The sequence below is a fragment of the Homo sapiens genome, chromosome 16 (assembly GCF_000001405.40).
Source record: "Homo sapiens chromosome 16, GRCh38.p14 Primary Assembly".
In the NCBI taxonomy this organism is placed as follows: Eukaryota; Metazoa; Chordata; class Mammalia; order Primates; family Hominidae; genus Homo; species Homo sapiens.
The window spans coordinates 25,568,362-25,594,452 of NC_000016.10; the positions used below are offsets into that span (position 1 = coordinate 25,568,362).

The 26,091-nt window shown below is 43.4% G+C and overlaps 2 annotated features.

Annotated features, from left to right (window-relative positions):
• Nucleotides 383-1,582: an enhancer, noted in NCBI's record as "BRD4-independent group 4 enhancer chr16:25580065-25581264 (GRCh37/hg19 assembly coordinates)". NCBI's record gives its function as "activates an origin of replication core promoter dependent on BRD2, P300/CBP, MED14 and CDK7 cofactors, and independent of BRD4, by STARR-seq in HCT116 cells {active_cell/tissue: HCT116}" and the evidence as "EXISTENCE:reporter gene assay evidence [ECO:0000049][PMID:35650434]".
• Nucleotides 6,927-7,688: an enhancer, noted in NCBI's record as "NANOG hESC enhancer chr16:25586609-25587370 (GRCh37/hg19 assembly coordinates)". NCBI's record gives its function as "activates a minimal SCP1, AML or CMV promoter by ChIP-STARR-seq in primed H9 embryonic stem cells {active_cell/tissue: H9 hESC(primed)}" and the evidence as "EXISTENCE:reporter gene assay evidence [ECO:0000049][PMID:30033119]".

Genomic DNA, 26,091 nt, shown 5'->3' on the forward strand with positions numbered 1-26,091 from the left:
ATGGGCTCTCCTGTTGCACCTGTCACCTCCCAGCTATGAATGGCATCTTCAGGGAGTAGGACAGAGAGGGTAGTTTGTTGTCTTGGCACACGGGTTTAGAAAGCATTCATAGGAAAAGTGCAATTTCACTTGGCTGCTTGAAAATTCCCAGAGGGGGGTGAGCTGGGTAATTCAGCAAGCCATGTATTGAGATTTTTAAAACATGGGAAAGTGGACACCGTATTACATGATTTTGCTGCTAGTCTGGTTTTGACCTGGTGATCCCATCCTGGTAACTGTAAGTTCATCCATCTAACTGGGCTTCCTCAATCTCTGGGTTCAGAGGATAATTTGTCACCCTTTCAGCCCCTCTTCCCTGATTAGTGGCCAAGACTGTGTCCCTGACATCAAAATTTCTTACTTATCTAGATGTTGGGGTGTGTCCTTGTTACGGTCTCACCAATGCACCACAATGTAGCAGTCTCTCATTGTGAGGTATCACCCGGAGTTCTTTGTCTCACAACCAAGAGAATTAAGGAGCATGGACACAAAGGGCAAGGTTGGGGTGAAAGTTTAATAAGTGAAAGAAGAAAGCTCTCCACTGTGGAGAGGGGACCTGGAAGAGGGTTGCATTTTTACAGTTGAATGCAAAGGCTTTTATAAGAAACCAATGAGGGCTGGGCATCTCATTTGTATAAGGTGCAAATTTCTGGTAGCTCCACCCTGTCCCCCTAGTGTGCATGCGGGTCCTTAGCTTGAGTTACTCCATATTGCTTTGTTCTCCTTACTGCATATGTGTAAGGGAATGGAATTTTCCATTGTGGGCATGTATGGGCAAGTCACCTGTGTAGCCTTTCTTACCTGTGCAGCTGTGGGCATGTCTTAGGCAAACCCTTCTGTGCAAGTTCCCTTATCTGTGCCTGCAGGTTGTTCTTTTGTTTGGAAGAATTCAACCAAGGACCCATCCTAACTGCCCGCCTGACCAGTTTCTTTCTTTCTCCTCTCTCACCCTGCTCTGACCCTCCCTAGTCCATTTCTACCAGCAGGGAAAGGATGCTCCCTGCTCTGGTCATTTTGACCTTCCTATATCCATTTTTACTTCATGCTGGGCATGGATGGCTTTGGACAAAACTCCCATTTCAGTCACTGATATACCCATACTGGAAGACATGCCCAGTCAACTAGGCTTCCTCTCAGAGTCTGCAGCTGACTCCACTCTGCAATCCCATCACTGTGGACACCGGCCCAGTGGCTCCATCAAGTCCCAGCTAATGGTCTTTTCATTTCCTCTCTATCATGCACACAACATCGCTTCAAGCACTAATAGCTACAGCACTGCCCTTGGACCTGAGCAAGAAGGATTGTGGTGGTTCGAGGGCCCCGTCATGGTTCTCTGGCTGCATATCATCCTCCCTTTTCCAGGATGAAGAGTTGTAATGCCAAGGGAACATACATACCTGGGGACTCTTCTAGACCATAATCTGCTCATGAGAATTCTGCAATTTCTTATCCACATAGCCCCACGATCAATCAGTTTCAGCCCTGCAAAAACTTCTTCCTGTGTCTGACTTCTGGAGAGCGGACTATGCTGGTGTGTTCCTTCCTAGGCCTGATGGCTGGTAAAAGGTGCAGTTGTTTGAAGGGTGAGTGCGGGTGGAGCTTGGACATGCAAGCCAGGGTATCCACATGCTTCTATGTGAGGCTGTTGTGTGGGACAGAGCTGGAGGTGGGCCAAGGGCTGAGAGTTGGCTTTCCCCATGCACAAATCAAGTCTGATAATTCTACCTGAGGACCGGGCCTTCTAGGCTGTTATGAAGGTATATGTTGAGAGGAAAACATTTCCTCTACCAACTTAGGTTTAATGATCGAGGACCTGCCAATTAACTCACAGTAGACAAATTAACAGGAGAGAAGAAAAATTTTTTTTCACATGTGCAGGCAGGAGTACTTAGTGATGAGTAATTCACTGAATAGCCAGAGGTAAACGTTTTATACCAACTTAACAAAAGAAGGGAAAGAGTGTGGCTTGGGGCTTAGGTAGGAAAGTATAAAGGGTTCTATTGGGATTTTTGTTGCTAATGGCAGCTGAATTTGCACTTCCCAGTGCTAATGATTAGTCTTCTCCCAAACAGGAAACTCCCTTGGAGGTGGGTAAAGAGCAGTTTTATTTTTGGGAGGCTCTGCTCAAGTTCAGATAATTTTTCTGTGGCTGCTTTTTATTCAGATGTTTTCAGCTTAAGGTAATTTTTTTTACTACTTTGGTGGGCTGTTAATTCTTTCATATATTTATCAAGGAAGGAGACTAGAATATATTTTATTTAATAGTCAATAGCTTGATTTTCATTTTATAACTATTTGGACACATAGTATATGGGCCTCTATTTTTATTCTTGCTCTATGTCTTGAAAATGTTAGAGGTGGGCTTGGTGATTACATGGTTATCTTTCATGAATGGAATCCAAGTCTTGCTAATTTTATTTTCTACCAGGGAGGAGCATTTCATGGTGTGTGTCTTGACAACATGACAATGCTAGTCCTGGGCACTGCCACAAGAAGCCAGGTGGTACCAAGGCACCAGTTGTTAGATATTGGTGCATTCTGTCATTTGAAGATTGAAAAATCCTGGATGATTTTCTGTGTACATCCAGGAGCTACCGTTTGGTAGCTCATGGGACAGGGAAAAGATTTACTGCCTTGTGTATACAGAAAGGACCACATATCAAATGAGCAGGGACATCTCCCTCTCAAAGATCATCCCCTCCCACACAATACCACAAATCCCTACCATATATTAGGCATTACAGTAAGCTAAGCACCTTCCTACATAAATCATATCTCATGTTTATGGAATATTATTGGGCAACATATCATTCTCTCTTTTGAGTTAGGAATTCAGCAAGACTTGTTTCACAAGATACAGATCACAAAGACCCCACTGATAAAACAGGATGAGGTAAAGAAGCTGGCCAAACCTGTCTCACATGTCCATGTGAGGAGACCACCAAACAGGCTTTGTGTGAGCAACATGGCTGTTTATTTCACCTGGGTGCAGGTGAGCTGAGTCCAAAAAGAGAGTCAGCAAAGGGTGGTGGATTATCATTAGTTCCTATAGATTTTGGGATAGGCGGTGGAGTTAGGAGCAATGTTTTGCGGGCAGCGGGTGGATCTCACAAAGTACATTCTCAATGGTGGGGAGAACTACAAAGAACCTTCTTAAGGGTGGGGGAGATTACAAAGTACATTGATCAGTTAGGGTGGTGCAGAAACAAATCACAATGGTGGAATATCATCAGTTAAGGCTATTTTCACTTCTTTTGTGGATCTGCAGTTGCTTCAGGCCATCTGGATGTATATGTGCAGGTCACAGGGGATATGATCACTTAGCTTGGGCTCAGAGGCCTGACAAAACCCACCAAAAACCAAGATGGTGACAGAAACAACCTCTGATCATCTTCACTTCTGATTATATGCTAATGATAATGGATTAGCATGTTAAAAGGCACTCCCACCAGCACCAAGATAGTTTACAAATGCCATAGCAATGTCTGGAAGTTACCTTACATGGTCTGAAATGGGGAGGAACCCTCAGTCCTGGGAACTCCCTGCTCCTTTCCTGGAAAACTCATGAATAGTCCACTCCTTGTGTAGCATACAATCAATAAATAACCATAAGGAGAGTCAGTTAAGCCGCCCATGCTGCTACTCTGCCTATGGGTTAGCCGCCCTTTTATTCCTTTACTTTTTAATAAGTGTGCTCACTTTACTCTGTGGTTCACTCTTGAATTCTTTCCTGAATGAAGCCAAGAACCCTTAATGGTCTCCTGGACTGGGCCCCAATTTTGGGGTTTGTCCTGCCAACATTTTCTCCCTCAACCTCTTGGAAATAGCTTATATATAGGTCATATACTCTTATCACTTTGCTTTTGCTAAAAGATATTGTATTAGTTATATGTTGCTATATAACAAATTACCCCAAACCTAGTAGTTTTGAACAAGAGTATTTGTTATTTTATTTTATTTTTTAGAGATAGGGTCTCATTCTGTCACCCAGGCTGGAGTGCAGTGGCATAATCATAGCTCACTGCAGCCTGGAACTCCTGAGCTCAGGAAATCCTCCTGCTTGAGCTTCCCTAGTAGTTAGGGCTACAGGTGTACACCACCATGCCTGGCTAATTAAAAAAGACTTTTTTTTGTTTTGTGGAGATAGGATCTCACTATGTTGACCAGGCTGGTCTTGAATTCCTGCCCTCAAGTGATCCTCTTGCCTCAGCCTCGCAAAGCATTGGAATTACAGGTGTGACCCACTGCATCCAGCCACATCAGCATTTGGAATAGAGAAAATGTGGTATATATACACAGTGGAATACTATACAGCCTTAAAAAACAAGGAAATCCTATCATTTGTGACAACACAGTTTAACATAAAGGATATTATGTTAAGTGAAATCATCAGACACAGAAAGACAAATACTGGCTGGGTGCAGTGGCTCATGCCTATAATCCCAGCACTTTGGGAGGCTGAGGTGGGCAGATCACTTGAGGCCAGGAGTTCAAGACCAGCCTGGCCAACATGGTGAAACCTCATCTCTACAAAAATACAAAAATTAGCTGGGCATGGAAGCACATGCCCGTAATCCCAGCTACTCAGGAGGTTGAGGCAGGAGAATCGCTTGAACCTGGAAGGTGGAGGTTGCAGTGAGCCAAGATGGCACCACTGCACTCCAGCCTGGGTGACAGGGCGAGTCTCCATCTCAAAAAAAAAAAAAAAAAAAAAAAAAGAAGACAAATACTGCATGATGTCACTTATATGTCAAACCCCACAGAAGCAGAGAGTGAAATAATGGTTACTAGAGGCTGGGGTGAGGGGAAATTAGAGAGATGTTCGTTGAAGGACATAAAATTTCAATTAGATAGGTGGAATACGTTCAAAAGATATACATCATAGTGACTATAGCTAATAACAATATATTGTATACTTGAAAATGGCTGAGAGAGTAGATTTTAAGTGTTCTCACTACAAAACTGGTAAGTATATGAAATAATGCATATTTAAAATTGTTTGATTTAGCCAATCCACATGGTGTATATATATATATATATCAAAATGTCATGTTGTATACTCTAAATATATACAATTTTAACCTGCGAATTTAAAAAATCATAAAAAACAGGCTGGGCATAGTGGCTCACGCCTGTAATCCCAGCACTTTGGGAGGCCGAGGCGGGTGGATCACAAGGTCAGGAGAAAAGAGACCATCCTGGCTAACACAGTGAAACCCCGTCTCTACTAAAAATACAACAAAATTAGCCGGGCGTGGTGGTGGGCGCCTGTAGTCCCAGCTACTCGGGAAGCTGAGTCAGGAGAATGGCGTGAGCCTGAGAAGCGGAGCTTGCAGTGAGTCGAGATGACGCAAATGCACTCCAGCCTGGGCGGCAGAGCAAGACTCCGTCTCAAAAAAAACAAAAAAAAAACACAAAAAAAACATAAAAAACAAAAATCATAACAAAAAACACAATAGCGTTTATGATCTTACAATTTCTGCGGATAAAGAATCTGGGAGTGACTCAGCTGGGTCCTTTCACCAGGAGACAATGAAGGTGTGAGCCAGGGCTGCAGTTCCCACAGGGTTTGGCTGGCGGAGGGTCCTCTTCTGAGCCCACCCACACTGTTGCTGGTGGGATTCACTTCATTTCTTCATTGGCTATTGGACCGAGGGCCTCTGCTCTTCATGGGCTGTTGGCTGGAAACTGCCCTCAGTTATCATTTAAACTCTAAACTAAATTTATCCCAAAATTAGCTTCTCCCAAACCCAGGAATAAGTAAGGGCAGTTTGGAGGTTAAGGGCAGGATGGGAGTTGGTTAGACCAGATCTCTTTCACTGTCATCATTTTCTCACTGTTTTAATTTTTTATTTATTTTATTTATTTATTTATTTAGAGATGGAGTCTTGCTCTGTCGCCCAGGCTGGAGTGCAGTGGCGCGATCTCGGCTCACTGCAATCTCCGCCTCCCGGGTTCAAGCGATTCTCCTGCCTCAACCTCTGGAGTAGCTGGGACTACCGACGCCCGCCACTACGCCTGGCTAATTTTTGTATTTTTAGTAGAGACGGGGTTTCACTACGTTGGCCAGGTTGGTCTTGAACTCCTGACCTCAGGTGATCTGCCTACCTCAGCCTTCTAAAGTGCTGGGATTACAGGCATGAGCCACCACACCCAGGATCACTGTTATAATTTTTGCAAAGGTGGTTTCACTCTTACCAGGTATATGGCCCTGAGCAAATGATTTGTCTATTCTGAGCCTTTGTTTTCTTGTGTGTAAAATGATCATAAGACAAATCCTTTACTCACAGCATTGTTAAGAGGAATACATGGGTTCATGTATGCAAAGATGGAAGCACGGTGCCTAACATGTAATAAATGGTTCACCAATATTAGCTGTTATCATCATGACTATCAAGAAGTTCTCCCTGATTACCTAAAATGCCACAGATATATATTGATAGCTGCTATTCATTGGAGTAAACAGTTCACCTTATTCATATATTTTATTTTATTTTTAGGTGTTTAATATCCCTAACTTACAAATAACACAACTCTCTAAGCCCTAGGGAGGCTAAGAATTTGCATAATATCATATCACCATTCAGCAACAAAGCCAGGATTCAAACCCAGGTTTCTGGTTCTAGCTCTCATTGCTTTCAGCTTCACGGACCTGCCTTCACCGCTTTCTATGGGTGTGGAGTAGCTCAAGCCTTCAGCACCACCGGCCTGATACCCGCTTATATAAAACATCTCATTTTCTTAACTTGGGGAGCATGGTTAGCCCAAGCAGAGGTTTCTCTTCATCCAGGATTCCCAGGACACCAAGACAACTGAAACTTTTAAAATTTGTACTATTCCTTAATTTTCCTTTTTAAATTCTAACACTGCAGACTGAAAAAGCCAGGCCTCTCTTTGGAGGTCCACATAACTCTCAGTGAGAGCATGTGAGAGATTGGAAGCATGGGTTTGCAGTCAAATTCTCTGGGTCTCCCGCAGCCTGGCCAGCGTTTCATCACCTACAGCCTTGGGACTGCATGTCTGAGGCTGAATCATGGGAGAGGGAGAGGGCTGGGTATAAATTCCCCCACTCCCTGTCAGTGATGCTGGGCCTCCGGGGGCACTGTAGAGATGTAGTTCATTAAGGAATTACCTCGGTGGTAATGTCTTCCACTGAGAAGTGCTATTCTGCCGGGGCCTCCTAAGGGGTAGCTGAAAGTGTTTCATTTCTATTCATTCTATTCTCTGGATGCCTCCATTTAATGAGGTCTTTACTTTTGCCTTTAAAGACTGCTCTCACCCCTGTGGAGTCTAGCTGTTAGCTGGAATTTGAATACAGAAGGGAGTCAGGACAGAACAAGGAAAAAGCCCTGAAGGTCAACCCCCAACACACTTAGAAGGAGCTGGCTGTCTCTGGCTCCCCATCTCTGGCCAGTCCCACTTCTGCCTTTCATGACAATCCAAATTTGGTGTCTCAGAGGCTTCCCACTTACTGGTTGTACCTGTCCCAGTTCCAGGGCAGACTTCCTCCGGGGCCAGGAGTTTATTAATAGTCTCCACCCTATGGGACCAGTGGAGATCAGATGCATTCACATTTTCAGAAAATAGAGCCCACATGACAGCTGGGCCTCTGGCTGCCTCCCTTGTCCCTGCAACTTCCCCAGCTCTCTTGCTGGCAGTCAGACACCAGTTACTGAACTCAGAGCTGCGGGAGACCCCTGGATGCTCACATAATCTCAAAGGCAGCACTTTTGACATGTGGGGCTGTATGGCAGGTGCACCTGACAACAATAACTTAAGCATACCCTGAGAATGACCCTATGGTCTAAGAAAATGTGTGTTTGGGGTCCCAAGCTAAGGAATCCAGGAGTGGTCAATCTGGAGAATCACTCTTTATGCATGAAGGACATCGGAACCCCCTGGTCCATTCCTTGCAATGCAGGTCGTGCAGGGGACAAAGGCCCTGTGTTTTCCGTTAAATGGAGGTTGCTAGGTGGAGGGTACTAGGGGGAGGGTGCTAAGTGAAGATTGCTGTAATCACCCAGTGGGTTCACCTTGCCCGCTGCATCGACAGAACCAATTTATGAAGACAGGGGAATTGCGATGGAGAAAGAGTAATTCATGCAGAGCCGGCTGTGTGGGAGACTGGAGTTTTATTATTACTCAAATCGGTCTCCCTGAGGATTCAGGAATCAGAGTTTTTAAAGATAATTTGGTGGGTAGGGGCTCGGGAAGTGAGAGTGCAGATTGGTCAGATTGGAGATGGAATCATAGGGGGTTGAAGTGAGGTTTTCTTGCTGTCTTCCGTTCCTGGGTGGGATGGCAGAACTGGTTGAGCCAGATTACTGGTCTGGAAGGTGTCAGTGGATCCATCGAGTGCAGGGTCTGCAAAACATCTCAAACACTGACCTTAGGTTTTACAATAGTGATGTTATCCCCAGGAGCAATTTGGGGAGGTTCAGACTCTTGGAGCCACAGGCTGCGCGACCCCTAAACTGTAATTTCTAATCTTGTAACGAATTTGTTAGTCCTGCATAGGCAGACTGGTCCCCAGGCAAGGAGGCCTTTTTGGGAAAGGGCTGTTATCAATTTTGTTTCAGAGTCAAACCATGAACGGAGTTCCTTCCCAAAGTTTGTTCAGCCTATGCCCAGGAATGAACAAGGACAGCTTAAAGGTTATAAGCAAAATGGAGTTGGTTAGGTCTGATTTCTTTCACTGTTAGAATTTCCTTAGTTATAATTTTGCAAAGGCAGTTTCATGGCTAAATAAACTGAATGCTTTTTACAAACGGCAGTGGTTTTCCTGTCCAGCCCGCTGTTCCTGGACTGCCCTGTCTGTAACTCTCTAATAAACTCTATGTCTCTGTCTCCTTTGCACGTTTTAGGTCTCTTCTTCAGTTTCTTGGACACAGTGTTGGAGTCAACAGGGATGTGGCACAACAGGGACTTCACCCAATGCAGATTCCTTTCGAGAAACTGGGCCTCCAGCTTGTTCTACCAGTCATGTGCTGGTCCTCCCAGGGGCCTGCTCTGTGCCCCGAACCCAGCTCTAGCCTCAAACTCCACTTGGGCCTAACTGTCTAGAGTGCTAGGATACCCTTCAATCCTCAGCAACTGGGTCAACAGGGAGGAGAAGGAAGTGAAGAGCAGGCATGATGGAAGACGGAACACTACCATGAAGTTAGGCTGACCCCTTGTCCATCTACAAAAGAGTGACAAACTCAGGTGTGGGCAAACCTATCAGGAGCCGTTTAGGAGTTAATGCAGAAAGCCAGGCAGGCGTTGGCATCAGAGGTCTTGGAGAGACTTTTTCTTTTAACATCACTTTTTTTTTTTTTTTTTTTGATACAGAGTCTTGCTCTGTTGCCTAGGCTGGAGTGCAATGGCGTGATCTTGGCTCACTGCAACCTCTGCCTCACTGGCTCAAGTGATTCTCCTGCCTCAGCCTCCCAAGTAGCTGGGACTACAGGCACATGCCAGCATGCCTGACTAATTTTTTTTTTGTATTTTTAGTAGAAACAGGGTTTCACCACGTTGATCAGGCTGGTCTCGAACTCCTGACCTCAAATGATCCTGCCTGCCTCAGGATCCCAAAGTTAATGCTACTTCTTAATGCCGCTATCATCTGATGCTAAATACATGGCTCTTCATTCTATCTTGATTCTGGCATTACCCAGGAAGCTTTTGAGATTTCAGAAGTCTGGTCCCCACACCCAGAGACTGGGAATTAATTGGTCTGGAGTAGGGCCTGGGCACTAGCATTTTTGAAAAAGTCCCCAGGTAATTCTTTTTTGTTTTTGTTTTTGAGACAGAGTCTTACTATATTGCCCAGGCTGGAGTGCAGTGGCATAATCTCAGCCCACTGCAGCCTTGACCTCCCGGGCTCAAGCAATCCTCTCACCTGTTTGAAATGCTTGTTCCCTGGTGCCATAAAGAAATAGCACTTGCACATAAATTTAATTTATTTAGTAAGGCCATTTTTACTTCCTGCAGAAAGGGTACACTCGCCAGCAGTTTCGCCACGAGAGTACACCGAACAAAGGAGACAGGGTCATTTACAACCTGACGCGTCCACCCTACTGCTATGTCTGGTTTCCGTTGGCTGGAATGGGACCTTACATTCTGTATCTGTCCGACTGGCTAGCAACTTAGAACTTTTTAAAAGAGGCAAAGGTAGAGGAGAACAAAGGAAGGAGGAGGTAACTTGTGGAATGCTGAGAAAGGTAAAAACACTTTTAAATAAGGAAGAGGAGCAGGCTATGACCTAATGCTTGCTTGGACCAGTATAAGCATGCTAGGGCAAATATTTAGGTGCCCAGGTTTTTGAATAAATTTTGCTTCTAAGAGAAGTTACCATTTATTCCTAATTAGACGGGGAGGGAAGTCTTTGAAGAGGAACCTCTACTTTACTTTTTACACACCTCAGCCTCCTGAGTGGCTGGGACTATACATGTGCACCACCACACTCAGTTAATTTTTAAATATTTTTGTAGACATGAGATTTCACCATGTTGCCCAGGCTGGTCTCGAACTCCTGGGCTCAAGTGATCTGCCCTCCTGGGCCTCCCAAAGTGCTGGAATTTCAGGTGTGAGCCACCGCGCCCAGCTCCCCAGGTAATTCTAATGGATAAGTACTGACGGTCGTGGAAACTACTGGCCTAATGAAAGTAGGATTTAGGGTCAGCAGGACTGGGGGCTCTAGCTCTGGCAGAAAACTAGAATATGAGACAGGAAAAGAAAACACAAACCTCATCCCAGTAACTAGGCCATCCTAGATAAGTTTGGTGATTTCTTCCAGACCCATGGGTTATAGTCCATTTCAGATTTTCTTTTCCCACCAAGTGATAAGGCTGAGGTTCCTAGTGGATCTCTAGATAAGGGCACTGCTGATTTTCAAATGTTCCTCCTGCCTCAGCCTCCTGAGTAGCTGGGACTACAGGTGCGTGCCACAATGCTGGGCTAATTTTTTATTTTATTTCTTGTAGTGATGGAGTCTTACTATGTTGCCCAGGCTGCTCTTGAACTTGTGGGCTCAGGTGATTCTCCCCCTTCAGCCTCCCAAAATGCTAGGATTACAGGCGTGAGCCACCGTGTCAGAGGCGTGTGAACCAGAGCAACTCCATCTTAAATAGGAGCTGGGTAAAATGAAGCTGTTGGAGTAGCCATTCTTTTACTCCTTTACTTTCTTAATAAACTTGCTTTCACTTTGTCCTGTGGACTCACCCTGAATTCTTTCTTGCGTGAGATCCAAGAACCCTCTCTCTGGGTCTGGATGAGGACCCTTTCCTGTAATAGTCGTGCCCGGTCCCTGGTAAGTTTTTGTTAAAGGGACTGGACTAACCTAAATTTAGGATTGAGAGATCCACTTGTCACACACGGATGAGTCAGGGCCTGGCATTTTGGTAACATCACTATTCCCAGTACAATTACATCCTTAATATTTTTCCCTGATATGAAACCCTTTCTGAAGTCTCTTTTAAATTGTTACAATAAGAGGAGGCTATAGACCTGGGATTCAGGGAAGATAAAATGAAGCATTTAAGAGCCTCCTTCTTTTGAGGGAAATGGGCCAAGTACATTCTTTTTACAAAGTTAACCAGGAAAGAAAAGCATCTGAAGATAAACCCTGCAAACGATGGTGATGCGAAGAGAGGGGATTGAGCCTGGAACGTGGCGTAGGAGGTAAGCCATGCTAATGGCCAAACAATGATCAATTAGTTTGCGGAGTTGAGCGACTATTGGGTTTGCTACCAACCGTATCCGAGTGAGAGCTCTTCAGGGACACCGAATGGCTGTCAGTCCTCAGAATGAAGCTGTGTGAGGCCGCCGATGCCTTTGGCCGGTTTCGATGAGCAGATGTCGCCTGACTGTAGCTCAGCCTCATTTCCATACCAGCAGCTCGTGCTCTGCCCCAGGCAATCTCTGAGCAAAGGCCTCTGCTTCCCCAGAGCTCACCAAGCCTTGGTTCCAGGTGAGAATGGATGGAGGCTGCAGGGGATGCTTCTAAAACTATTTTTTTTGGGGGAAAGGAATAAACAAACTGCCGAATCCTACACTTTTCTCATTGGTGACATGTTTTCCCTTACGGGCTTGCTTTTTGCTGGGACGGTATAAAGAATTGTATATTCATTCATGTAAAATACTTATCAAGTGCCTAATTTGGGTTTAGGATGTTTCTTTGGCACAACACACATGCTTCTTGCCTTCAGAGTGTGTGTAGTCTAGTGGGAGACAGAATGTAATCAAGTATGGCAATAAATAAATAAATCCAGTTTCAGATAACCATAAGAGCTACAATAATAATAATAATAATAATACATGGTGACCCAGGTACCAAGAAGAAGTCAGCACAAGCAACCAAAGAAAAATAGTTACATTGGACTTCATCAAAATTAGAATTTTCTGGCACAGTACAGTGGCTCACACCTGTAATCCCAGCACTCTGGGAGGCTGAGGTGGGAGGATCGGTTGAGGCCAGGAGTTTGAGACCAGCCTGGGTAACACAGTGAGACCCCCATCTTTTTTAAAAAAAAAATTATAATTTTTTTTTTGTCTTGCCATAAAAGTGATGCAGTGGAAAAGACAATTTTTTTTTAAAGTCCAGGAGTCTGGCTAGCTCTCCAAAGGAAATATACAAATGACCAATTAGCACATGAAAAGTTGTTCAACATCTTTAGCCATCAGTAAAACATGATTTAAAACCAAAATAAGCTACCACTTCACACTTTCTAGCATAGCTATAATTAAAAAGACAGACGATAACAAGTGTGGACAAGGATGTGGAGAAATTGGACCCTTCATATTCCACTGGCAAGAATATAAAATGATGCAGCTTGATACGATTTGGCTCTGTGTCCCCACCCAAATCTCACCTTGAATTGTAATAATCCCCATGGGTCCCTGGGAGGGACCTGGTGGGAGGTAATTGAATCATGGGGGTGGGATTTTTCCCCATGCTGTTCTGTGATAGTGATTAAGTCTCACAAGATCTGATGGTTTTGCAAAAGAGCAGTTCTCCTGCATGCACTCTCTTGCCTGCTGCCATGTAGGATGTCCCTTTGCTCTTCCATCATCTTCTGCCATCATTGTGAGGCCTCTCCAGCCATGTGGAACTCTGGGTTCATTAAACCTCCTTATTAATTAGCCAGTCCCAGGTATGTCTTTATTAGCAGCATGAGACTGGGCTAATACACAGCTACTTTGGAAAACAGTCTGGTGGTCACCAAAACTTAAACAAAGCACTCCTGGGGCTGGGTGTGGTGGCTCATGCTGGTAATTCCAGCACTTTGGGAGGCTGAGGCAGGCAGATCACTTGAGGTCAGGAGTTGGAGATTAGCCTAGCTAACATGGTGAAACCCTGTCTCTACTGAAAACACAAAAATTAGCCAGGCATGGCAGTGGGTGCCTGTAATCCCAGCTACTCAGGAGGCTGAGGCAGGCGAATCGCTTTAACCCGGGAGGCGGAAGTTGCAGTGAGCCGAGATCATGCTACTGCACTCTAGCCTGGGCGACAGATCAAGGCTCCGTCTCAAGAAAAAAAAAAAAAGCACTCCCACATGACCCAGTAGGTCCACTCCCAGGTGTATACTCAAGAAAAATGAAAACACACGTCTGTACAAAAATTGTGTGTGAATATTCATAGCAGCACTGCTCATAGTAGTCAAAAATGGAAACAACGTGGATGTTCATCAACTGGTGAATGGATCAGTAAAATGTGATCTATCCATACAATGGAACATTATTTAAATGGCAATAAAAAGTAATGAAGTGCTGATGTGTGCTATGCCATGGATGAATCTTGAAAACATATACCAAATGAAACAGTCCACTTACAAAATATCACATATTGTATGACTCTCTTTATATGGAATGTCCAGAACAGGCAAAACTATAGAGACAGAAAGTAGATTAGGGGGTTGGGTGCAGTGGCTCACACCTGTAATCCCAGCACTTTGGGAGGCTGAGGCGGGCGAATCACCTGAGGTCGGGAGCTTGAGACCAGCCTGGCCAACATGGTAAAACCCTGTCTCTAGTAAAAATACAAATAAATAAATAAATAAATAAATAAATAAATAAATAAAAATTAGCCAGACATGGTGGCATGCACCTGTAGTCCCAGCCTGTAGTCCCAGTTTGAACCAAGGAGGTGGAGGTTGCAGTGAGCTGAGATCAGACCACTGCACTCCAGCCTGGGTAAGAGTGAGACTCCATCTCAAAAAAAAAAAGCCCCAAAAAACCAAAACCAAACCAAAACAAAACAAAAACAAAAGAAAACTAGATTAGTGGCTGCCAATGGGTAGGGTGAGGGTGTGGGGAGGAGGAGAATGACTGCTAATGGGTATGGAGGTTTTTTGGTGTGTTGCGGTGATAACAATGTTCTCAAATAGATTGTGGTGACAGTTGCACAACTTTGTGAATATAGTAAAAACCATTGAACTGTAGGCTTTAAATAGGTTAATTGTATTCATGTGAATTATAGCTCAATAAAGATGATAAAAGGAGGCAGAGGAGGAGGGATCTCCTCTTTCACCAGCTGTGGAAGCATTAAGGATTCTGTGCAGAGAGAACAGAGAATGCAACTTTCCTGGATTTTCTGTCTAATACTTTTTGATGTAATTGAAAAGAACCATGGGTTTGGGAGCCAGGCACATCAGAGTTCGAGAACCATTTCCACCATTGACCATGACTAACTTCCTTCAAAGTGATTTTTTAAGCCTTCTTTTATAAGATGTGATGTCACATTTGGATTCTGTTACATTCCTCCAGTGAATACTATTTGTAACTTGCATTAACTTGATTAGGTGGGTAGCAGCTCAAATCTCAGTTTCAATATTCTATATTCAAATCAGCTGCTTGCAGTCTGTCTCACGCGTGAATGGTTCAAACACCAGTCAGAGGCTTGGGCAGGGTTTGCACACAATTTAGGGTTCTTCTCTGGCTCTCATTTTTTGTTTTTTGTTTTTTGTTTTTTTTGAGATTCCCTTTTTATTCTTCAACATCCATGGTTGCCCAGTTTTTACATCCTTGTTACATAAGCCAAAAAGTAAGTGGGCTTTCTATAATTTTGGCTTCCTTACATTATGACTGGAGTTTGTCATCAGGGCAAAATCCCACTAATGGAAAACTCAACTCATAAAGATTCCTTCTTTCCAAGTTTTGACTTCCCTCCAAAATCTCTTGCTTTTCTTCATGCTCCAGAGGTCTCAGGTGGTTGTTTTGGGGAGGATTTTGTCCAGAGCTTATAGCTGAGTTTGGTAGGAGGATCAGTATGTTGAAAGGTTACTCTTCCACCCTGGAAGTGGAACCTAGCATTTAGCTATAGGTGGAAAGTGCACGGAACCCTTGGATAAGTCTGGCCCAATGTAGTCTTGAACAACAATTACTATATATATGTGACAGAGCAGGAGCATCACCATCTTGGACAAGCACCACCATTCTAAAGTTCACCTTGGTCAAAAACTGCCTAAATCCAAAGTGCATCAGCCCAATGGCTAAGGTCAGCATGACCATAAACCACAAATGACATCTCTGACGAGAAATTTTCCAACATAATATAAGCTCCTCCCTGACCAGAGATATGCCAGCCCTGAGATAACCTGCCCTCCAACCAAAGACATTCCAACCCCACTGTAAACTTCTCCCCAACACAGAAACATTCCAAGCCTTTAATAAACTCTCTCACCAATAAATACTGTTAGTTTGTAAGGGAGAGTGCTCCTGACTGAAATCAGCCAGAAGCCCCTCTCAGGTTTATTCTCCAAAATAAACCTGTCTTTGTTGAGGAGCTTTTCATGTTTCTTTCATCTTTCTTTAACTCTTACAATATGTTTTTTCTTCTTCAACTTTTATTTTAAGTTCCAGGGTACATCTGCAGGATGTGCAGGTTTGTTACCTAGGTAAACATGTACCACTGTGGTTTGCTGCACAGATCAACCCATCACTTATGTATTAAGCCCAGCATCCATTAGCTATTCTTCCTGATGATCTCCTTCCTCCCCTCCACCCCCCAACAGTCCCCACAGTGTGTCATTCACCATCATGTGTCCATGTGTTCTCTCTATATGTTTTTAATTTTAAAAATGTTTGTGTAGAAACAGGGTCTCTCTATGTTGCCTAGGCTGGTCTCAAACTCCTGGCCTCAAGTGATCCTCCTGCCTTGGCCTCCCAAAGTGCTGGGATTACAGATATAAGCCACCATTCCTGGCCCTAACAACAATCAGTATTAATTATCCTAACCATAATAGTGTGTGAGATAAATATTATTACCATTGTTCCATTAAAGGATGAAGGCTCAGAGATGTTAGGCAATTTACATAGCACCTTATAGCTAGTAATTGGAATGTTATTAAATGAAGTAAGTATCAATTTGGAAATTTGGGTAAATATTTCCATTCCTATTCTTCCTCGAATTTTTTTTTTTTTTTTTTGAGATGGAGTTTTGCTCTTCTGGCCCAGGCTTGGAGTGCAGTTGTGTGATCTCAGCTCACTGCAACCTCCACTTCCCAGGTTCAAGCGATTCTCCTGCCTCAGCCTCCTGAGTAGCTGGGATTACAGGTGACCACCACCATACCCGGGTAATTTTTTGTATTTTTGATAGAAATGGGGTTTCACCATGTTGGCCAGGCTGATCTCAAACTCCTGACCTCAGGTGATCCACCCACCTCAGCCTCCCCAAATGCTGGGATTACAGGCATGAGCCACCTTGCCCGGCCTCTTCCTTGAATTTTGAGTGACCCTGCGTGTCCCTGAATGTCTAATCTTCATTGATTTCTATCTGTAAATGGGGATTTATTATTGTGCTTCTGAACCCTTGTGGTTTCTTTTTAATTAGGATAAATGAACTTGAAGATGTTATTGAGGTGTGCAGCTCAGGTTCAGTTCAGAAGCAGATACAGTAGCTAACAATTACTATTTAAATGGGGATAAGAGTAGGACCCGCAGATCCCTCAAAATTTCTAATACATTGCCACAAAGACCCCCAGCTCCTCCCCTTTATTCTCTATGTAGCTTTGATAGGTAATTTTCCCTTTGAGTCTTAGTTTCTCCAACTGCAAATTGGGTTTAATAATTCCCAAATCCCCAAACTTGGAGAAAATCCAGGGAGAAAGCTGACTTTCACATGTCTGACATTATACTTCACCAATGATAGGAAATAGATTTAAGTTGACAGAATTAGAATTAGTGGTCTCTATCTGCACTTCAAAGAGAGAGGAGACAAAATTCAATTGTGCCAGGGAGGTCAATAGTTTCTCTTTGCGTTCTCCCATGATGCAGTTTTCTTTTTCAGATGGCTGGGAGTGAGGCTTCCACTTGGCTGGGAGGCCAGTCCCCAGACAGCAAGCTACTGTGTACTCCTTCCTCCTTGCTGTCACATACCACCACTTCCTCTCTAGAGTGGCCTCAGGCTTTGGTAAATGGTTAGGCTGCTGACAAAGCTGCAGGTAGTTTCTGGGGAAGTGGCTTCTTCTTATTATTTAAGGCTTCATTTTTATTTTATATTTTCTTATCCTTGTCCTGCCCCAGGGAAGGAAGAACCCTCACACACACAATGTGCTTGCAATGGACCAAGCCATAGAAAGTAGAATCTGTAATTCCCCGGTGTCTCTAGAGATGGACTTGAATAAACAGGATTCTTTGTGTATAATCATTTGGATGCACAAAAGATTATATCATGGAAATATGTCATGGAATTATATCATGGAAATATCGACTCATCTAGGTTCTATTATCCCCATTTAACACATAAGGAAACTGAGTATCAGATGTTGTGACTTGTGCAAGGCCTCACAGCTTTTTTTTTTAATTTTTATTTATTTATTTTTTTTTGAGATGGAGTCTCGCTCTGTTGCCCAGGCTGGAGTGCAGTGGCGCGATCTCAGCTCACTGCAAGCTCCGCCTCCCGAGTTCACACCATTCTCCTGCCCCAGCCTCCCGAGTAGCTGGGACTACAGGCGCCCGCCACCTCGCCCAGCTAATTTTTTGTATTTTTAGTAGACACGGGGTTTCACCGTGTTAGCCAGGATGGTCTCGATCTCCTGACCTCGTGATCCGCCCGCCTCGGCCTCCCAAAGAGCTGGGATTACAGGCGTGAGCCACTGCGCCCGGCCCAGCCTCACAGCCTTTTAGCACAGAGCCGTCACATGTTAACGTGACTTGGAAGGAGGAAGTGTCCTTAGATAATGATCATTTCTTCAGACTCTTCCTTTGGCTTTTACCTATGATTTCGTAGCTACAGTCTAGATTAGTGACTTAATCTGATATTTTCTGGGAGATTTGGCCTTGGAGTTGTTTGTATGGGAACTTGGACGGTGAGAACCAAGTGTGTGCATCCATTTTTGTGTGTTTTATATGTGTCTGCAGGGCTATGCAAGAATAGACTTATCCTAAGCTATCAGTGTCAGGTCTATTTATGTTCACCATTGTATTGCTGGCATGTAGCTCCTTTTCCTGCAATAACACAGCTGCCTCCTTCCCAGTACAATTTTGTCCCGTCTCCTGTATGCCCAAGAACCATACAAACAAGTAAAGATGTACGGCAGAATTTGCAGTCAGAGCCTTTTGAAATTCCAAGTGAATTCCCTCCAGCTGAAAATCCCAACCCCCAGACAGGCACACCTCCCCCTCTGCGCTGTTCTGCTGCAGAAGGATTTGTCTGGGAAGGTCTCTGAGTCCACGTCTGTTTGATGACAGCTGTCCAAGTGTAAGAGGTATTATGCATTTGGAAAATGAGTTATTTGGCTGAGTTGATGGTGTGTGACCATGAGTGGCAGATGTCTGTTTTTGTGCTGGGCATTACACCCTCACTTCTTCTGGTTTCCAAAGCAGACATGTTGGAAAGAGATGGATGTGATGTAAACACCATTCCTCTTTGTAGGAAAGAATAACATTATTCTGAGTGTGATAAGTCCTGCCATGAGGGCCTCTGCACCCTAAAGATGGTCCCCATCTTCTGCCTTTCTGAAAGCCTTAATGGTTTATCTCCTTGACTTTTTCACCTGTGGAAGTCCAGAGGACCAGTGGGCACTGAAGTATACCCTTGCAAACCACATCTCTGAGCCCTTCATGTGGAGCCTGTCCAAAGCAGACATTTCCCTTCAGAGCTGCAGTATCTGCTCTAGCCCTGGTCTGATACAGGCAGAATGGTCTACCTGGTGGGTTATTTTGGATGAAGTTGTGTCAGAGGCATTTGAACCAGAGTGACTCCATCTTGAATAGGAGCTGGGTAAAATGAGGATGAGCTCTATTGGGCTGCATTCCCAGGAGGTTAGGCATTCTTAGTCAACAAGATATTTACAGTAAGGGGAACAAGTTTATTGTGTTTACCAAACAGACCCAGGTCTTAACAGACCAACATCTTAAGAACAAAAGCATTCTTAGTTTAATAATAAGTTTTGCTTTAAAGATAATAATATAGATTCTTGCAGAAGACAGTAGTTGCACAAAGATATCAATCCTTTGTCATAAGCCCTCGTAGTAGAACACATGCCACCCATGATTTTTTGCTTAGTTGTCTTATATATAAAGAAGCATTATATCTAAAGCAGCCATGTTCCTTCTTTTGCTTTCAGAAAGACTTGTTCTGTCTATGGACTGGAGCAGCTATTCTTTCATCTCCTTTCTTTCTTTTCTTTCTTTCCTTCCTTCCTTCCTTCCCTTCCACCCCTCCCTTCCCCTCCCTTCCCCTCCCTTCCCCTCCCTTCCCCTCCCTTCCCCTCCCTTCCCCTCCCTTCCCCTCCCTTCCCCTCCCTTCCTTTCCCTTCCCTTTCTTTCTTTTTTTCTTTCTTTCTTTCTTTTTCTTTCTTCTTTCTTTTTTTCTTTCTTTTTCTTTCTTTCTTTCTTCTCTCTTCCTTTCTTCTCTCTTCCTTTCCTTCTTTCTCAGGGTCTCACTCTGTCACCTAGGCTGGAGTGTAGTGGTGTGAACACGGCTGACTGCAGCATTGGCTTCCTGAGCTCAGGCGATCCTCCTGCCTCAGCCTCCTGAGTAGGTGGGATGACACATGTGCATCCCCATGCCAGGTTAATTTGTTTTGCATTTTTGTAGAGATGGGGTCTTGCTATGTTGCCCAGGTTGGTCCCAAATTCGTGGGCTAAAGGGATCCTCCCACCTTGGCCTCCCAAAGTGCTCCTCCCTTTTGGAATTCAGGAAAAGCTGACCAGCACTTAATATCCGCACAGACCTTAAGTCTGACAAGCTAAGAAACATTTATAATTGATTCTTTCTAAAGACTGCTATCTGGAGGTTTCATCTGCATGATTAAACTTTGGTCTCCACAATCCTTTACTGTAACCTAGACACTTCTTTCTATTAATAATAACGCTTTCAATCAATTGCCAATCAGAAAACTTTTAACCTGGAACCCTCCCCTGCCCCCTACCCCCTGCCGAGTTGTCATGCTTTTCCAGATAGAACCAATGTAAATCTTACACGTGTTTGATTTATGTCTCATGACTCCCTAAAATATCACTGTGCCCCGACCACCTTGGGCACATATTCTCAGAATCTCCTGAGGGCTGCGTCATAGACCATTGGTCACTTATATTTGGCTCAGAATAAATCCTCCAATATTTTCCAGAGTTTGACTCTTTTCATTGATATTTTCTTAATAAACTTGCTTTCACTTCATTCAGTGGACTCGCCCTAAATCCTGTCTTGTGCAAGATCCAAGAACCTTCTCCTGGGGTCTGAGTTGAGACAGCTTTCCAGTAATAGTTGTATTGAAAGAAATCAAAATATTTTACCCCAAAATATATTTCTTGGACATGTTTTGAAATGGCTGCAGCGAGGCCAGCAGACAGGAGTGGCCTTGTAAACTTTCTTCTGCAGGGGAAATTTGCATCTGTAGAGAATCTCCAATAATGCAGCCAGGCCTTTCCTGGATCCAGGAGAGATTAGAGTCTGGAATCTTAAAAGTCTGAAAATAAACATTTTCATCTCTTCTGTCTGAGGGCTACTACCTGTGAGGCTTTGCCTACATAACAAGACCAACTTTGCTAGCTAAGTCTCTTTCCTTCTCTCTCCTACAGCCTGTCTTGCCACCACTAAACCTGATTTACCAAGATAACCTGTCTTATTTTATTGTATGCCTTTTCTCCTGTTAGTTGATCTGTCTCATGTCAGTGATTTTCAGCAAACCTTTAGGGGGCCATGGGTCTTGGTTCCCACAGTGGCCAATGGGAGTCAAATGTCATTTGATTTTTACCATCAGGGCACATGACCTACACTCAGCATAAACCATTCCAACAAGCTAGGTTACAGTATAGAGCTAATCCTATCGCCATCATCTAAGGGATCTCCCTCTCTCTCTTATGAAGCTAAAAGCTCACTTCTTGAAGTTTCTGTTTTCTCATCAATAAGATGAAAATGGGCAAACAAGCCCAGGCAAGAAGAAGAGAGAGTGAAGTACCCTGGCATAGGCTAGAGATAGCCAGAGTGAGTTTGCTGATTTAACCTCCTAAAAACATAAAAAAGAAGACGGGACCATATTCACATGTATGACCTTAATCATGCAGTGACTCTGCTCTTTAGAAAATATGACCTGTCGGCCAGGTGTGTCAGTGGCTCATGCCTATAATCCCAGCACTTTGGGAAGCCAAGGAGGGAGGATCACTGAGGCCAGGAGTTAAAGACCAGCCTGGCCAACATGGTGAAACTCTGTCTCTACTAAAAATACAAAAATTAGCCAGGTGTGGTGGTGCATGCCTGTAGTCCCAGCTACTTGGGAGGTTGAGGCACGAGAATCACTTGAACCTGGGAGGCGGAGGTTGCAGTGAGCCCAGATTGTGCCACTGCACTCCAGCCTAGGTGACAGAACCAGACCCTGTCTCAAAAAAAAATAAAATAAAATAAAAAAAGAAAATATGTTCTGTCAATACATTTGACTTTGACCATATGTGGTTAGCATTTCTCCATTTCAAGGTTGAGATTAGAGAAGAGGGTGTCTGTCCTTGGTTCTTCCCCTGAAGAAGCATTTAAGTGTCATACTTCTCCCCTTTGCCCAGGTTCTTGTTGACATAATCGAAGGAGTATGAAAAGAAGAGAAAAATCTACATTAGCGGTAGAACTAGGGAAGAGTGCCATCCATGAGTGAGACATTCCAGTAACTTCCCCTAGACAGAATACAAAAGGGATCAAAGTCAAGGGGCATACTGAGAGCTAGTCCAACTCTCCTTCCTAAAATTTCAGTAGAAAACAAATAAAGGAGACCTTGCCAGAACTCCACCATCAGCTAGTTTGGAAGGGCAATGGCTGGAGGATAGATGACATCTGAGAAATACTGGACTGTGAATTTCTTTTCATTGTTGTTGAACTTTGCAGACTTGGGAAACCCCGGAGAGTGAGTGGTGATCCGGCACCAGGAAAAAGGCCAACTATTGCCACATCATATGCAAGGAATGAAGACAGGCTAAATAGAAGATGTCAAACTCTGGATGATTGCTAGATTGGGAAGTTGCAGAATAACTGTATGATGTATGGGTGATTAGCCTACATAGCTCTTAGCATCTCTTTCTAACCCGAGAATGTTCGATTGCATGAATTAAACCTAAGTTTAATTCAACTTAGGTTTTAAGTTCTAAACTCAATTGCTCTATAGATTTTGATCAGCTATCTCAAGAGAATAACATGTGCGCTAAAAACATGCATTCAGAGAGAGTGAGGGATTAATGTCAGTTCTAATGCAACACATATCTGGTCACTGTATGCTAGGTAATGGGAATCTGGAGATAAAGGATATATCATTATGTTTTAGAGAGGCTCAGAATTAGATGGAGAAGAAAAGACACATTGGGTTATAGAGTGATTAAATGCTCTAATAGACCACTGTGATGAAGGGTAATTAATCTGCCTAAGGGAAAGCTACAGAGAGGAAATAATTTTTGAACTGGGCCTTGAGTATTAACTCATGGTACTATTTCATCAGACATTATGAGGAGAGCAAATAATCTAGTATGATTGAAATATGAGGTGAATAAAGGGAATGATAGGTCATTAAGGTGGAAAGGTTGGCTAGAGCCAAGTTGTTTGCCCTGCTAAAGAACTTGTACTTTATTCTGCAGAAGGTGGGAAGCCATTGAATCAATTTCTTACAACATCACTCTTGCAACAGAGTCAAAAGAAGACCTCTAGGCAAGATGGTAGACTGGGTGCATGCAACGATCTCAACCCTCCAATGCAAACACATAGAAATGATCAATAAAATACTTTGGAAATATATAAATGTACTAAAATAAGCATAAAAATAATAGAAATCCCTCCCTTACTAATACCCTGCTAAAATACTTCCATTGATCAAAGTGCAAGGGAAGCCCACTGAGTTAAGTGAAGTTTATGCTACCAGCTGAGAAAGGAACAGAATACCAATTCCTATAGAAAATGGAAACTGAATGTTTACCACACATGATCAGAGGTGAGGATCCTGTCTCTCTGAATGAAGCCAGGGGCTGGATTTATGTACCCTGACCCAAGTTATATACAGTATATATATATATTCAATTCAATATATATATTATATATATATTTGGGTCAGGGTACATAATATATACATAAATATATACATACACATATATATATATGTATATATATATATTTACTTTTTGAGACAGGGTCTCACTCTGTCACCTGGGCTGGACTGCAGTGATGTGGGTGATTCTCCCATCTGAGCCTCCCACATAGCTGGGACTATAGGTAGGCACCACATGCCCAGCTAAATTTCATATGTTTTTGTGGAGACAGGGTTTCACCGTGTTGCCCAGGCTAATCTTGAATTCCTGGACTCAAGTGATTCTCTCACCTTGACCTCGCAAAATGCTGGGATTATAGGTGCAAGCCACTGTGCCTTGCTTTAAAATAATGTTTTTAAATGCATAAAATGAAATATATTAAGAAAACTAATTATATTGAAATACAGTTTTCAAAATACGAAAAGGAACCCCAATCTGCAATATGATAATACTTGTGCTTTTAATTAACACATTATTTGAGAAGGATCTAGCATTGGATCTACTTTCAGTAAAATGATTTGAAAATAGGCAGGGTGCTGTGGCTCTCTTCTGTAATCCCAGTACTTTGGGAGGCTGAGGCAGGTGGATCACTTGAGGTTAGGAGTTCGAGACCAGCCTGGCCAACGTGATGAAACCCCATCTCTACTAAAAATACAAAAATTAGCTGGGCATCATGGCAGGCGTCTGTAGTCCCAGCTACTCAGGTGGCTGAGACAGGAGAATGGCTCGAACCCGGGAGGTGGAGGTTGCAGTGAACCGAGATTGTACCACTGCATTCCAGCCTGGGTGACAGAGCAAGACTTCCTCTCAAAAAAAAAAAAAGGATGATACGAAAATATTTGTAATTTTCATTAGTGACAGAATCATGGATAACAGTAAGTCATATTCAAAATTCAAATTCACCCCTCACATAAGGCCTCTATGAAATCATTTCTTATGCTGATCCAACAGATTCTGTGCACCTGGCAGTGGTGGGGAAGTGGGTATCCAATGACTATATGAGTAGTCTACTCATATAGTAGACTATATGAGTATTGAGTACAGAGAATACTCAATAAATGTTCATCAATGAATGAATGAATGAGTGAACAAATAAATGGAGTTGATCACCTGAGAAACAGAGGAAAATATTCTCTCCTGCCCGTACATTTCCTATCTGTCTTCCTTCTTATTTCTTTTTATCTGTCACTCATGTATGTATGCATTCACTACACTATTTATTGAACAGCTACTACATGAAAGACACTAGGATTTGTAGATGATGCCAAGATGAATAAATAAGATGTGAATCTGGCCCTAAAAGAGGACATAGCCTGACATATGGTGGAAACCCAGAAAAACCTCACCTGTGTTCAGCATGTGACCATTTTTATCCATTGCCTATTTTTTTTTTCCTTAAGATTTCCCATAAAACTTAAGAAACCATCAAGGCGAATTTCAAAGTTGGCAATAATGAAATAGCAGCCGGGTTGCAGTATCTGAAAAAAAAAACCTGTCACACACAGGGCTTGTTCTAACCATGCAATTTGCAGAGCTGAGTTTGGAAGAAGTAGGTCAGTTTGCAGAGTTAGCTGCCATAAGATTCTGCAAACAGCTGCCTTAGCTGGAACCTATGTTTGCGAGGGAAAAATCACAGATGGGACCTTTTTTTTTTTTTTTCTGAGACTCAGTCTCGCTCTGTCACCAGGTGCCAGCCTGGAGCGCAGTGGCCGATCTCGGCTCACTGCAACCTCCGCCTCCTGGGTTCAAGCAATTCTCCTGCCTCAGCCTCCTGAGTAGCTGGGACTACAGGCACGCACCACCACACCCAGCTAATTTTTGTATTTTTAGTATAGACGGGGTTTCACCATGTTGGCCAGGATGGTCTAGATCTCTGGACCTTGTGATCTGCCCTCCTTGGCCTCCCAAAGTGCTAGGATTATAGGCGTGAGCCACTGCGCCTAGCCTGGACCTTTCTAAAATATTCCACAGAGAGGTGCTTGCTATTGAATTTTTAAAATATTATTTTATGAGATGTTTCCATTCTGACTTATTAAGAAATAGGTCATTTCTCCCACAAAGTTTGATAACACCTGATTGGTGTGCCAACTTTCTTCTTATGTTACCACAAGACTTTTGATAATGCCTATTCCACTGTTTGTTGAAGTCTGCTACACAAGTAAAATTGTGATGCTTGTTGGTTGTAGGGAATACCTCTTCTCCTTCCGTAGTGGTCAGCTAGCCGGTCAAGTGTGGGTCCACAGCTGAACAGGAAATCTTACCTATTTCCCACTTTCTTGGTAGAGAAGTCCATGATATAAAATAGGGTGCGTAACCTACAGTCCACAGGCTACAGCCTGTTTTGTAAATAAACTTTTATTTGAACACAGCCACACTCATTCATGGCCTAAAATACTTGCTATCTAACCTTTTATAGAAAAAGTTTGCAATCCCTAGATTTAGAAGGCCAACAGTTCAGGTGTGTCCTTCTGCTCATGAGGTGGCTGAGGATCCCAGGACACATGTAGGGATGGTGAAAATCCACACAGTGGGCTGGCTTAATTCAAATTTCCCTCTTCTTTTTCAATCTTAAGC